The sequence below is a fragment of the Homo sapiens genome, chromosome 11, assembly GCF_000001405.40.
Source record: "Homo sapiens chromosome 11, GRCh38.p14 Primary Assembly".
NCBI lineage: Eukaryota > Metazoa > Chordata > Mammalia > Primates > Hominidae > Homo > Homo sapiens.
In genome coordinates, this window is record NC_000011.10 from 120,543,067 (window position 1) to 120,558,525 (window position 15,459).

Below are 15,459 nucleotides of genomic sequence, written 5' to 3' on the forward strand. Positions count from 1 at the left end.
CCCCGTACACTGTTGGTGGGAATGTAAATTGGTAGTCATTATGGAAAACAGTATGGGGTGGGAGGAGGGATAGGAGCGGAAAAAACTATTGAGTACTAGGCTTAGTACCTGGGTGATGAAATAATCTGTACATCAAACCCTGTGACATGTATTTACCTGTATAATAAACCTGCACATGTACCCCTGAACCTAAAAGTTAAAACAACAAAAACAAAAACAAAAAAACTAGGCCTGGGTGTGGTGGCTCAAGCCTGTAATCCCAGCACTTTTCTGAGGCAGGTGGATCACCTGAGGGTCAGGAGTTCGAGACCAGCCTGACCAACATGGCGAAACCCTGTCTCTACTAAAAATACAAAAAAATTAGCCGGGGATGGTGGTGTGTGCCTGTAATCCAGCTACTCGGGAGGCTGAGGCAGGAGAATTACTTGAACCCGGGAGGCGGATGTTGCAGTGAGCTGAGATCACGCCACTGCACTCCAGCCTAGGTGACAGAGTGAGACTCCATCTCAAAAGAAAAGAGAATGTATGTTCCTCAAAAAATTAAAAATAGAACTACCATACAAGCCAGTAATCCCACTTCTGGGTATTTATCCAAAGGGATTGAAATCAGGATCTTGAAGAGATATCTACATTCCCATGTGCATTGCAGCACTAGTCACAATAGCCAAGAGAGTGTTCCTCTTGGAAGAATGGAATCCAGAATATGTGGTCCACACATACAGTGAATATTATTCAGCCTTAATAAAGAAGAAGATCCTACCTTTGCAAAAACGTGGATGAACCTGGAGGACAGTGTGCTAAGTGAAATAAGCCAGGTACAGAAAGACAAATATTGTATGATCTCACTTACATGTGGAATCTAAAATAGCTCACAGAAGCAGAGGGTAGAATGATGGTTGTCAGGGGCTGGTGGGGAGGGGAAATGAGTTGTTGGTCAGAGGGCACAAAGCTTCAGCTATGCAAGGCGAGTCAGTTCTGGCGAGCTGCGCTGCATAGTGCCCATAGCTAACAATACTGTGTTCTATACTTAGAATTTGCAGAGAGGATGGATCTGATAGTAAGCGTTCTTACCATAGACATATGAAAATAGTTATAAAGAGGGTGAGAGAAACTGTGGGAGCTGATGGATGTGTCTGTGGCCTTGGTGGTGATAGTAGTTTCACCAGTGTATACTTGTCCCCAAACTCATCAAGTTGTATACATTAAATATGTATGGTCTTTTACATGTCAATCATACCTTAACAAAGTGGTTAAATAATACTATTTTTATACTTTTTTTTTTGAGATGGAGTCTTGCTCTGTCACCCAGGCTAGAGTGCAGTGGCATGATCTTGGCTCACTGCATCCTCTGCCTCCAGGGTTCAAGCGATTCTCTAGTCTCAGCCTCCTGAGTAGCTGGGATTACAGGCATGTGCCACCACATCTGGCTAATTTTTCTACTTTTAGTAGAGCCGGGGTTTCACCATGTTGGCCAGGCTGGTCTTGAGCTCCTGACCTCAGGTGATCCACCTGCCTCGGCCTCCCAAAGTGCTGGGATTACAGGCTAAAGAGTACTATTTGTTTTCAACCTGGACATTTCAGCACAGCTGTTATTAGGAAGTTGTGTCCCTCCACCCCCTACCTTGTGATGTTTCCTAGGGTTGAGTTACCACGGGGACATGGAAAGGAGGTGTCTTGTGGGTCATCAGAGCTCTGGTCCTAATGTACATGTGAGAGGTTAAGGCTGGATAAGGAGGGTTAGAAAGAATCAACAGAGATTCTTCAGTGGATTCATTGAAGCCATATTTGTCCTTTTCCACTAAGGGACCATAAGATGAAACTGAAGACCTAGGGGCAAGGGGACCTGAGGCTTGTTGAGCACAGCCCGGACTCCCAGGGTGCGCTCAGTGTGGTCCACTGTCACAACAACCGTGTGCTGCAGGGTTCCCGCTTTCTCTAATTTGTGAATGGGGAAACTGAGGCAGGGAGCTTACGCAGCTGACTGAAGGCCTCACAGCTGGCCAGAGGCCAGCTGTGAACAAACCAGGGGACATACAGGCCTGGCCCGCGGGGTCACTGGCCGGTTTCCTGTGGCTCTCTGCAGGGTTCCCACTGTTCAGCCACAGCTTTGAGCCCTTTTGTGCATCTCTTACTACACGTCCTTATGTAGTCAAACCAGAAATGGAGCTCTTTCCCTCAAAACTGCCTTATCTCTAGTCGTTAAGGGTGTTCATTTGGCTGAAACTATATTAAGTGAATTTAATTGAAGGTTATTTTCCTAAGATACATTTTTTTCTTGTTATAAAGTGATATGTGCTCATTGAAGAGAGTTTAAAAAATACAGTGAGGCAAATGTAAGAGGGTGGAAATTGCCAACAATCCTACCATGTAGCCCACTATCAATAACAATAGTAACTGGCATGGAATGAGTAATTGCCGTATTGTAGTAAGCACTATTCGAGGTGTTTTGACGTACGATTATTATTAACCATTCTTTTGTGTATGAGGAAAACAGACTCAGGGACGTTAAGTAACTTGGCAGAGGTCACACAGCGAAGAAGTGATGAGATTTTAATATGCACCATTTGACTCTAGGGCCCAGGCTCTTAACTACCTCTGTCTTGTGTGAAACAACAGTGGCAATGGATTTTGAATGAAAGGGAGGAGAACTGTTGATTGAGTTTCACCTGCCCTGGAATCCAGAAATCTTGATTATAATGGTCAGGTAGGGAGCACCAGTTTTAGGGATCTTTGGATAACAACACCTAGACGTTCTTTAACTCAGGCTTGATAAAGACTGAGAAGGAGTTACTGAGAACTGCGGAGGCCTGTGCTGTGCACTGAGTGCTTTCCTGCATGTTTTCAGACAGAGCCAAGGGTGGCACCCAGGCTCCACCCTTCCTGCTCTGACCAGATGGCTTCACATCTCTCCTGACTTCTGCTTTGTGGGTTGGTGCCCCTCGGTGTGGCTGGGTACCCTCGGTTTCTCCCCTTCGTGTCTCTGTGGCCCATGACCAAAGAATCCGTGGTCTTTGTGGGTGGGTCAGGTGTTGGCCCTGAGGTACAGCCGTTCTCTGTAGGGCTGCATCCTCCAAGGGGGAACCCCTGTGTGGAGGAGACAGGAGATTTTAGCAGCAGGGACCCTCCTTGCAAACCAGCCCTTGCAGCGTTGGTGCTGCTGTTCCTGTTGAATTGGTTCGCCCCCAGTTGCTGTGGGTTTGCTCCTGCAGTCTCCCTTGCAGTCCTGGGTTAGTTCTCAGGACTGCACCTTGAGGGAGATGGGCCAAAATGAGATCTGGTCCGGAAAAGTGGTCAGGGGCATTTTTCAGTTGGGAAAGATTCTCTCTGGAATGGCAAAGGACTTCTCAAGGGACCGCGCCTGCCTGTGTCCTTCTAGGTGGTGGAGACTGCACCTGCTGGGCTAGGGCGACATGGTTTCTGTGCCTGCCCCTGCAACAGCCTGATTCTTTCTCCCTAGAGATCCACCTAGAGGAAGGGGGATGCAGTCCGCATGGGAGTCCAGCACTGTGAGAGGGCTGCTCATAGCATATCCCCATGGGAGTCTTGCCCCACAGAGTGTGTCCAAGGTGAAGGATGGAGTCTAGGGAACGTGCAGTATGTGGAGAGGACCTGGGACATGCTTCTGGCTCAGCTCCCTCATTAGCCTTGAGTTATTTAGTATGTCACTCCCGTTCCTGAGTCACACATGCTCCGCCCACCTCCTGAAGTCCCCTCCCACTGTGTGGCTACTAGGAGTAAGGATGGAATTTGTGGGGAACTTCAGGCCCAGAACTGGGCATGAAATGGAAATGCAAGATGATGATTCATAATTTTGCTAGAGAAACCAAATACGGCTTTGCTTCCTCTCTAATCCCAACAGGTTCTGGGGCTGAGCGCAGCTTAAGAACAGCAAGGTCGGGGGGTTGGCATTGCCTGACTGTCCAGCTTAAGCCTCGTGCATGCAGAGCTCCACGTACCTCCCCGGCACCCTGCCCCTTGGGCTCTGGCAGCGCTTCCTCCACATTCTCCTGTCTTGTGTGCCTCAGTTCCTTTGCGTGGACAGTCCCTTCGACTTGAAGTCCCCTTCCCTCTCTTCCCTCCACTCATCCTCAGGAGCCAGCTCAGTGGCCATTCCTTCCACAGTGCCTCTCCTGGGAGCCTGTCCTGGACACACTCACCCTTCTCTCTGCCTCCAGGGTACCCTGGGCACTCCTCTATCGTGGCTCTTGGCATCTTAGATTTTGAGCTCCCAAAGGCCAGAGACCTTGCCTTGGGCATCTGTGGATGTCTCGCCCCTAGCACGCAGTGACCTCAGCCAGTGGGCGAGTGTCTGCACGAGCGGAGTACAGAGGGATGAGTGAATAGCGTGGTGAGATGGAGCTGGGCTCCTTTAGACTCTGGTCGGCGGTGACCACATGCTCACACAGGCATAAAATCTCACCGACACCTTCAAGGCAGCAGTCAGATAAGGGGAGGGAGGAAGGTGTTTGAGGGGTTGGCACCAGAGGAGCCAAGCAGGGAAGGCTTCTTGTTTCCAGACATTCAGGGATTTTTTTTTTTTGTCCTGACATAAACACTTGGTTTTTCCATGGAAACGTCTGACATGGGAAATCAGAAAATCTTTCTTAGGGAGGGACCAGACATTACATGAGCTTGTCATCATTATTTTTTAATTAAAAGACAGCAACTGCCTAGTGTTTGGTAAATTCAGGCCCCTCCCCATGGGTCTACTAATATGCTGAAATCTGGGTTTAATGTGCTGAATTTATTTTTTATAAGAATCTGTTACTGAACCTGCTCAGTGGAAAGAGCCCTGTTAGAGCTTTAAGAACTCATTAGCGGGATAAATATGCCGGGTATGAGGGGAGTCTGCAGCCCAGGGCTGCTGGGTACCTGCCAGGGTGGGCGGAGCTGCCCGGCCTGTGACTCAGAGGGTGGCTGTGGGAGGGCACACATGGGAACTGCTGTCCACAGGGTGAAGGACGCTGGGAGAATGCATGCATGGGCAGCCTGCCTGAAGCCTGTGTGTGACAGTGATCAGCTGTTACTGGCGCTGGTAGGTGACTCAGCCCGAATCAATTGCAGGCCTGCTGGACTCTGAGGCCCACGCTGTCTCCCTTGTGCTGCCTGGCACCCAGGGGCTCTCGAAGTATGAAAATAGACACCATGCATGACACGTGATAAGTACTGGGTACAGCAGGAGTAGGACCCAGTGCCATGGATGCTTAGTGAGGGGTCCTGAATTCTGATTTGGGGGTGGGGTAGTCAAGGATGCACAGGGGCCATGTGGGCAGAGGCTCACTTACGAAGTAGATTGTGCAAGTGGAGACGTAGGGCAAAGAGGCAAGGGGATTGCAAGCAGAGGGGATGGCCCCAGCAAAGGCATGGTGGCCTGGAGACAAGGGGTGTGGTCAGAGAAGTGCAGGGTGTCTTGCTCAGCTGGCCATCAGCTTGCAGGAGGAGCGGGAGGAGATGAGGCTACAGAGGCACCTCGGTCCCCACAGCCTTGCTGAGGGATTCAGACTTCCTCTTCTAAGCACTGGGTTTTAAGAGAGTGAATGGCCCGACATGATCCTTTTGACATTTTGGGAAGAGACCTCTGGTGGCAGCTGGGAGGATTTTGGACAGGGAAGATTTCTGTGCCCTGTATGACAGTTCCAGAGCAAACACCCCAGAGCAGAGGCACATCTGTCTGTGGGGCTGCCTACCCCAGCTCCGAGACCCCTTCATTTTACACACAAAACCCTGAAATCCCAAGAGGTGAAGTAATCCATCACACTCGCTCAGCAGAAGGGGCCGAATCTGCAGGGTAGAGAGGGCTGTCTTGCACAGGAGGGCACTTCTGCTCAGGGCATATGTTCCCTGTGAGAATCTGAGACCATACGGTGCCTGTCTGATGTGTGGGCCTGGCTTGGCCTCAGGCAGGCTTGACCTAGCTCCAGGCAGGCCCAGGACACAGCACCTCGTGCATGACCAGGTTTCCCCTCTTCCTGGCTTTGTCATCCCAGGCAGCTGTGGTATGAAGGGGGCTCTGAAGGATGCCTGTTTCCTGGCTGTTTTTTTTTTTCACTGAGACAGAGTCTTGCCTTGTTGCCCAGGCTGGAGTGCAGTGGCGTGATCTCAGCTCACTGCAACCTCTGCTTCCTGGGTTCAAGCAATTCTACTGCCTCAGCCTCCCAAGTAGCTGGGATTACAGGCACACGCCACTACACCTGGCTAATTTTTGTATATATTTTTTTTTAAGTAAAGTCGGGCTTTCACCATGTTGGCCAGGCTGGTCTCAAACTCTTGACCTCATGATGCACCCACCTTGGACTCCCAAAGTGCTGGAATTATAGGCGTGAGCCACCGCGCCCGGCCTTGGCTGTTCTTTAATAGAAGGAACATGTCCCCGTGTGGTACCATTGTTGATGTGGACAGACACACACACTAACAAACAAGGAGTGAGCCCTTCACGGGGGGCTGCAGTGGCACCTGTGTGCAGGCCCCTTTCCTGTAAGAGGTGAGGGCAGAGACAGGATAGGGAGGGGCACAGCAGGCACCCCCTCCCGGAGCCTGGCTAGGGCGTGTGCAACAGTAAAACGCTGCTCAGCTCACAGCAGGGGCCTGGGACAAGACAAGCAGAGGCTGAGGGCGGGTCGTGGGCCCCTGGGAGATCTGGGGTGCAGAGAAGGAGTGGGAGAGGTGGGCAGCTGCTGCAGACAGGGGACACAATGGAATCCTCAAGGAGGACAGAGCCCCTAGGGACCAAGGAATCAACTGAACGGCCAGGCTGCTGCCAGTCTATGCAGCCCCTTTGTGGCCCTTAGAAAAAGGCTATGCTGGATGTTGAGATGTGAACCTGCGAGGTAGACGGCAGCCTCAGCCATTTTGCTATCAATAAATTACTCTTTATCATTTAAGGCAGTTTGAGTTGCGTTTTCTGTCACTTGCAAGGGGTTTGGTTCTAAGTGCAATGAAAAGCCATTAAAGGAATTTGAGCAGAGGGATCCCATGGTCTGATTTACATTTTAACAGAATTGCTGTGGCTGCCTGGTTGCGGGGAATGGGCGGCAGAGGGTCAGGAGTGGGAGTGGGAGGCTATTCAGGAGGCTGGTGCAGCGTCACAGGGGGAAGAAGGGGCTTACACCCAGGGGTGGTGGCAGAGCAGACAGATGCAATGGTGCTGGTGCCTTTGGACTTGGCATCCCAGGTTGCTGCTGCCGCAGGGCTGAAAGGAAGAGGTGGATCAAGGATCTGGAGTGAGTGGGAGGAGGATGGGGCTGTTAGATGAGACTGAGTAAGAACAGGGGTTGGTGGGGGTGGGGTGAGTTGGGGGGTGGGGTGGGGTTCTCCTTTGAGCCGATGCTGATTAGACAACTCAGCAGAGAGATGGCGTCAGCAGTTGGATATCATCAGTCTCTCGGCAGGGTGAAGGGTCAGGGCTGGAGATGTAATCTGGGAGTCATCGGTGTTTAAGAGGAAAGGAAGAGGCAATGTAGGAGGGGATACAGATATTGAGGAGGGGCAGAGGATGGCATTCTGGGGTATGCCAATGTTAGAGTCGGGCAGAGGCGGGGAGCCCTGCAGTGGACATGGAGGAGGAGTGGCCAGGGAGGAGGCAAGCCAGGGTGGATGTGGCGCCACAGACAGGACAGAGGCCAGGTGAGTCCTGAGGCCCCGGGAGTCACACGGGAGAAGCATACAGACATGAGTGGAGGGTTTGACAACAGTGAGGTGGTCACTGGTGACCTGGATAAGAAGCCAGACTGGGGTGGTTGGAGAGTGAGTGGGAGGAGAGGAACGGAGGAGTGGGCACAAACCGTTCTTTGAGGAGTACTGTGCACAGGAGCAGGTGCACAGAGCAGTGGCTGGATGGGCATGCAGGGCTGAGTGGGGTCTTTCATTTGTAAGGGCAGGAGACAGCGGAGCATGCATGAGTGCACAGTGAAGGGCATGATCTAATGTGGGGGTATTCATGGATAACTCAGAACAGAAGGGTGACTTCCAGAATGAAGGCCTTGAGAAGGTCAGGGGCTGGGATTCACGAGACGAATGGTTTGGCCTCTTATGGGAGCAGGAACACTTCTCCCAACATACATGGAGGGAGGGCAGAGAACATGAGATGAGAGTGAGGGAAGCCGGTAGATTTGGTGGTGGGAAGTTAACGAGTTCCTGTTTGCTTTTGTATATGTATGTTTTCATCCCCGGTCCCTGGCTCATAACTCCCATAGCCCTTGTTACTGTAAACAGAATCTCTCTGTCTCTGACCTTCTCCTGCCCGCTTTTCACCTGCCCAAGGCAAGACTCTGATCTGACTATGGGTCATGAAACCTTTATTCCAGAGTGGGTCCCGCCCTCATACCCAGGAGGAAGGAATGCTGCAGAGAGAGGCCAAGAAGAATCTGAACAGGCAGGCCGTTCTGCATCCAGATCATACCCTTTTTGTCCAATTAAATTTTTACATGGTTGTTGGCCGGGCATGGTGGCTTGTGCCTGCAATCCCAGCACTTTGGGAGGCTGAGGTGGGCAGATTGCTCGATACCAGGAGTTCAAGACTAGCCTGGCCAATGTGGCGAAACCCTGTCTCTACTAAAAATACAAAAATTAGCTGGGCGTGGTGGTGGGCGCCTTTAGTCCCAACTGCTCGGGAGGCTGAGGCAGGAGAATCGATTGAACCTGGGAGGCAGAGGTTGCAGTGAGCCGAGATCACACCGTTGCACTCCAGCCTGGGAAACAGAGTGAGACTCTGTAAAATAAATAAATAAATAAATAAATAAATAAAATTTTATGTGGTTAACAGTCACGTCTATCCAATGAAGTCTCCATAAAAGGCCCAGGAGGACCAGGTTCTGGGAGCTTCTGGATAGCTGAACACGTGGCGGTTCCTGGAGGGTGGTGCCTGGGGAGGGCATATAAGCCCTGCGGCCCTTCCCCCATACCTCACCCTACGTATCTCTTCATCTGTATCCTTTGTAATATCCTTTATAATAAACTGTAAACATAAGTAAGTGTTTCCCTGAGCTCTGTGAGCCACTCCAGCAAATTAATCAAACTCAAAGAGTAGGTGGGTGGTGGGAATCTCAACTTGAAGCTGGGTGGCCAGAATTTCCCCCGGGGCCTGGACTTGCAACTGGTGTCTGGCTGTGGAGGGCAGTCTTGGGACTGAGCCCTCACCCAGTGGGATCTGAGTTTATCTCCAGGTAGACAGTGTTGGAGTTGAATTGGAGGATACCCCATTGGTGTCTGCTGCAGAGCTGATTGCTTGATGGTGGGGAGAACCCCCCACCCCACCCCCACACATTTGGTCACAGAAGTCTTCTGTGTTGGGGATTGTTGGGATGGAGAGCAGAGGAAAAACAATTTGAGGGCTTTCCCCAACACCTTGTTTTCTGATGGATGGAGAGACAAGGCAATGAGCTGAGGGTGTTGGGGAGGCTGAGGTGCAGGGAAAAGCATACCATGGCAGCCTGAGGGAATAAAGTGACAACTTTACTGCGTCTGTAGGGAGGGCACAGGATGCTGTTGAGGGCCTGGCTAGAGCTTGTGGTTGTAAGTTGAAAATGCAAGGAGTCAAACTGGCTTTGTGGTTTTCTACAGGAACGTTCAGTCGCTGGTGCAGGCATGGAGAGGGTGGATAGCTGGGTTTAGCTCGACTTGGGATTTAGCCAGGGGAGTAAAAAAGAAGGGAGAGGCCAGGCGTGGTGGCTCATGCCTGTAATCCCAGCACTTTGGGAGGCCAAGGCGGGTGGATCACCTGAGGTAAGGGGTTAGAGACCGGCCTGGCCAACATGGTGAAACCCTGTCTCTACTAAAAATACAAAAGTTAGCTGGGCGTGGTGGCAGGTGCCTGTAATCCCAGCTACTCGGGAGGCTGAGGCAGGAGAATCACTGGAACCCGGGAGGCAGAGGTTGCAGTGAGCCAAGATCATGCCACTGCATTACAGCGTGGGGGACAGAGTGAGACTCCGTCTCAAAAAAAGAAAAAAAAAAAAAAAAGAAGGGAGGAAGGGACAAAGGATTGGGGTTATCTGCAAAGGAGAGATTAGAGTGGGCTGTAATTATGCATCTCCAGTTACCTTCTAGATAGAAAAGATGCTGGATATAAAGATTTGGGGCCATCGGCCCATAGGCAGTAGGTAAAGGGTTTGGATGAACTTGCCCAGCCAGTGTGTGTGTGGAGTGACAAGGAACAGGGCCAGTGGTGAAACTCTGAGAGTCAGTGTTGGAGGGTCCAGGACAGGAGCCTTCTGAAGAGACAGGGGAACAGGAGGAAACCAGGAGATGTGGCACTGGGGACACCCAGAGGAAGGAAGAGTGGGAGGAGGGGCCAACCCTGTCATATGCCACTAGGAAGTCACGGGAGGCTGGGATCTATCATTCCAAAGCCACTGTTGACCAAGGGGAGAACATTTTCAGAGGAGAAGTGGGGAGTGGGCTAGAGTGAAGAAGGAAAGGGAGGATGTGGAAAGAGAGGGGAACAAAAGGGATTTAAAGTCTCTGAACTTGCAGGAACTTGACCTGGGCCTGGAAAAATGAGAAACTGGTTCATTTTCCAAGAGGCTGTAGGGAAAAGAAGGTTTGACCTGAACTCAGGGGTTATATTTGGAACTCGCAAACTGCACTTGGCCTCCTCAGGGCCTGGAGCTGTGAGCAGAGAGCCCTATGGGCCTGGGGAGGGGAGGGGAAGTTAAAAGGGGTTAGGGAGCAGGCTGGGGGTGCAGACTGCAGCACTGCTGGATGCAGAGCAAGCCCAGGAGCTGTAAATTGCCTGCCTGTATGTCACTTGTGCCCTGAGATGTCTCTCTCCGGAGTAGAGTGTGCCCTCTCAATGCTGACAGAGTGGAGGGGGACAGAGGAGGACTGGGAAGGTTCAAGTCACAGTGTCAAGGTCAGGCTTTAAAACAGAGAAGCCTCCTGAGACTTGGCAGGATTTAAAAAAACAAAACAGAGAAGCCACTTTGGAGGCTGGTGCAGATGAGACTAAGATGGATTTGGGGACACTTGTGGATGATGTTAAAGGTTCCACACCCCTACCCACTCACACCCCCACCCACTCACACCCCCACCCACAGCATCTATAGTAGCCCTGTGCTGTAGGCACCCATAAGGCTGCCTAAGTGAAAGGCAGATGAATAGATGAAGTTTCAAAACTGGAGTTGGGCCCAAATGGGACCAGCAAAAATATCTGTTAAGTCTACAGATGAGTTTCTGAACCCAGGATATCATTGGCAGACAAGGTTTATGTTCTAAAACCGCTCTGGATAGATGCTGGTAGCAATTAACTATCTTTAGCTGTGAAAGCCCATGCAGCATCTCCTGGCGTAGTAAGTGCAGGTGGGGTCAGGCCTCAGCATTGGATGACGATGTCTCCCAACCTTGCAGCCCCTGCATGGGCTCCTGCCTCCGCTTAGGTGTTTTCCTGGGACTTTCTCTCCACACTCCCCAAACTGGTGAGTGGTATGAAGTCAAGGGGAGAGGTTTGGCTTCCTTTTCCTTCCAGTCTCTCTCTGTCGCTCTCTTTTTTTCTTTTTCTTTTTCTTTTTTTTTTTGAGACAGGAGCTCGCCCTGTCGCCCAGGCTGGAGTTCAGTGGCGCGATCTCTGCTCATTGCAACCTCCGCCTCCCGGGTTCAAGCGATTCTCTTGCCTCAGCCTCCAGAGCAGCTGGGATTACAGACGCCCGCCACCATGCCTGGCTGATTTTTGTGTTTTTAGTAGAGACGGAGTTTCACCATGTTAGCCAGGCTGGTCTCGAACTCCTGGTCTCAAGTGATCTGCCTGCCTTGGCCTCCCAAAATGCTGGGATTACAGGCGTGAGCCACCGCGCCTGGCCCCTTCCAGTCTCTTGAGAGTCAGTTGGAGAGTCCATGTGCATCTGTTCCCCTCTTTCCAAATGAGGAATGTCTGCCCTGCCTGGTGGGTGTGGTGAGGACGGCACTGGAGGAGGTAGGCAGAGGGAGACCGCAACCACACTCCCACACAGGCATCCCGTAAAGGTAGTCCATGCGAGTCCACAGAAGCTGGTTGCCTCTGAAGCCTGTGAGGCATGAGAAGGCGCTCTGCAGCCCGAGACCACAGGCTGCTGCCCAGATGTCCTCCAGGCCCTGCACGCGCAGGTCACCATGTTATCTATCCATGTTTCCCATGACTTCAGGCTTAACTCCTGCAAATGGAGGCGGCATGCCCCAGAGAGCCCTATGCTTTTTGCTGGCTGTCCAAAAGCAAAACCCAGCAAGTGGCTTCCTGTTTATGCATTAGGTCTGGGAGCTCTCATTACTGGCTGGTGAACCAGAAGCCACTGTGAGGCAGCAAGGGCCAGATGAGAAGTGGAAACGTGGCTCTGGAGCTGACACAGCAGGCATAGGTCTGGCTTTTGTTTCTCCAAGTCTGATTTGCATAGAGCTTGCTAAAAAAGCTTTCTACCGGGCTGCTTATGTACTCGCCGAGCCAGCATTCACACACTTTCTCCTCTTCACTCAGTAAAATTTGCTCTGGGGCTGAGGCTGCCACCAGATGCACACAGCGGTCGTCTTCTCCCTCACGGTCCGCCTGCCTTTCCCGACCTACCCACTTCTGGGGAGTTTCTTATCTGGCAAATGGGACCGAGACACATCCAATGCCCAGGTGGTGAGGTGGAGGAGGGGCAGAGGGGAGGTCTGCCCTCCTTCTGCCCAGGGTCCTTTCGACTTCTCAGGAAAGCTGCGGGTGGCACAAAGTTTGCAAATTCCTTTTACTTCATCCTTGTCCTCAGAGGCCTTGGGGCTTCTTCCCACCGTCATTATTGATGTCCCTGCCACCAAGAATCATGGCCATGCTGGGGCCACGCGTCTTGGGAGCAACAGAAAATGCCTTGTCTTGGATGTGACAACTGGGGCAATGACCAGGTTGACACAGGCACTTCTCACCACAGACAGGTCATATTTCTAATGGTTTACTTACATGTTAGACTGTCGGCTACTTGAAACCAGTTCTTCTCATGGAAATGCATTTTCAGGAGGTGGCAAGGTTGCCATGCCAGCACACAGAGCGCCGTCTAATGTGGGTTAGAGGGAATGATCACCTGGTAGGGAGGGCAGCTTTAGGTCAAGGTTTACATTGAAGAGAAGATGGCGGGGAGTGCTGGTAAGCCTGGGGGAGGGAAGGATCAGTGTCCCCCGGCCCCTGTCACAGCGCAGTCCAGGAGGGAATTCATGCATGCATGCATTCACCCATGAGTCCTTTCTTTGTCTCATACCCCATTTCCAGTTCCTCAGTCTTGTTTGTTCTGCCCTCAAAAATACCCCAAATCTAACCACTTGTCACCTTCTGCTCACTCCCATCCTCATCCAGACCACCTGTCCTCTCTCCACTCCCCCAGTCTGTTCTTCACATCACAGCCAGAGTAAAGCTTTTAAAATGTAAGTCAGATCAAGTCATTTCGCAAGGATAACTCCACATGCATCCGGGAGGCAGCACCTACCTGCCCTCCACCCCTGACCCCAGTCAGTGCCACTCACCTCCTGCCACTCCAGAGGGGTGCGTTTAGGGTTTCTTGGGTGCGCCTACGTTCTTTTGGATCAGCCTGGTTTCCTTTCGGCCCACCTGATCTCTCTAAGACCCCAGGGTCCTCAACTTACTGGGTAACACCTGTCTTGGGAATGGGCTTAACCCGTCCTTTGCTTTAGGAGGAAAAAAAAGCACCCTCCTGTCACCTCCTGCATATACACAAGAGGAACACGTTTTTAAAACTGTGCTCCATAGGTTCATAATTACAGTAATCCATCTCCTCTCCGTTCCTTCCTTAATTGTGACTGGCAGTCACGTCCCCGCCCTCTATGTCAGTTGAGCTCAACTCTGCGCGGGGCCTCTCATTCCTCCTCATTAGTCAGTCTCCTTCCCCTCGCCTTGTCACCCTTACCTGGGTTCTGGCCTCCCTCCTGACAGCGGGCAGCTGCTTGCCTCCCTTTCTTGGTGTGAGTTAACATCCCTCCTGAGCTGACCCGTCCAGTCTCCTCCTGCCCACAGAAGGCACCGACCTCTGACTCCTGCTGCAAACCTGGCCTGACTGAGGCTTCTGTTACCCTGACTCACAGCAGGCAGCTTGTCCTTGGAGCCTGCTTGATGGCAGCATTCAGGGACCCAGGGCTGACTGTCTTTCTCTTGTGGCTCCATTAGTGCACTGGAGGACCGGATAGAATTCAGAAGGAGCCCCTCCCTTGCCTCTCCTGTCCCCCCCGAGGACTCTCGTGTTCAGCACACCATCCCTTCCCTCTGCCTGCAGTCTTTCTGCTGCACGCTCTAGGTCCGCTGCCTTGGGGGAAGAAAACGGTACCTCCTGCCATCCAGTCTCCTCACAGGCTGTGCCTGCCCTGGCTGCTGCTGTCCTGTCCACCGCAGCCTCTTCTCTTGACCACTTGTTTGCAGTTTCCCAGCCTCTCCTGCTGTCTGGGTGATGGGAGTACTCAGCCAAGACAATCTGAATTAATTTTGCAAGTAAAATTTCATCAGACGACCTATCTAGCGCTTCCCTAAATCAAGACGTATTACATCTCATGTGTGCCCTGAGCCCATTCATCATGTTAAGTCAGCCCCTGAAATACCAGCCAGGCTCAGGCTGAAAATGAGCAGCATTCTCGTCTGAATCTGGAAGGGGTCTTCTTTATCCCCAGATTTGCCACGAGAGAGGCTTCTGTCAGCTCTTTTGCTGGTGATAACATCAAGAAGTAATCGGGCCGGGCGCGGTGGCTCACGCCTGTAATCCCAGCACTTTGGGAGGCCGAGGCAGGCGGATCACGAGGTCAGGAGATCGAGACCAGCTTGGCTAACACGGTGAAACTCCGTCTCTACTAAAAATACAAAAAAAATTAGCTGGGCGCGGTGGCGGGCGCCTGTAGTCCCAGCTACTCGGGAGGCTGAGGCAGGAGAATGGCGTGAACCAGGGAGGCGGAGCTTGCAGTGAGCCGAGATTGGGCCACTGCAGTCCAGCCTGGGCGACAGAGCGAGACTCCGTCTCAAAAAAAAAAAAAAAAAAAAAAAAAGAAGTAATCGACAGTGGTCCTTAGAGTCAGAGTCAAGGGACCTGAAACAGAATCTCTGTTTTGACACTTACAAGCTGTGCAACTTTGAGCAAGTTACTTAACCTCTCTGAGCCTCAGTTTTCTTATGTGTAAAATGGAAATAATATCTACTTGAGAGGGCTGTTATGAGGTTAAATGAGATAAAGCACATGAAGTGTCAGTACTATAGTAGGTATTCTATAATGTCAGCTCCTTTTCCTATATGAAGTAAGTTAAAACCCTCAGGCTGTGCACGGTGGCTCACGCCTGTAATCCCAGCACTTTGGGAGGCCGAGGTGGGCGGATCATGATGTCAGGAGATTGAGACCATCCTGGCCAACATGGTGAAACCCTGTCTCTACGAAAAATTCAAAAAAATTAGCTGGGTGTGGTGGTGTGCGCCTGTAGTCCCAGCTACTCGGGAGGCTGAAGCAGGAGAATCGCTTGAACCCAGGATGCAGAGGT

The 15,459-nt window shown here is 51.6% G+C and overlaps 1 protein-coding gene across 16 annotated transcripts in view, besides 1 other annotated feature; it reads left to right on the plus strand.

Annotated features, from left to right (window-relative positions):
* GRIK4 (glutamate ionotropic receptor kainate type subunit 4) overlaps nt 1-15,459 on the plus strand; it is a 477,159-nt gene that overhangs the window by 31,319 nt on the left and 430,381 nt on the right. The gene's annotated exons all lie outside the window — the stretch shown is intronic.
* Nucleotides 4,873-5,618: an enhancer, noted in NCBI's record as "H3K4me1 hESC enhancer chr11:120418648-120419393 (GRCh37/hg19 assembly coordinates)". NCBI's record gives its function as "activates a minimal SCP1, AML or CMV promoter by ChIP-STARR-seq in primed H9 embryonic stem cells {active_cell/tissue: H9 hESC(primed)}" and the evidence as "EXISTENCE:reporter gene assay evidence [ECO:0000049][PMID:30033119]".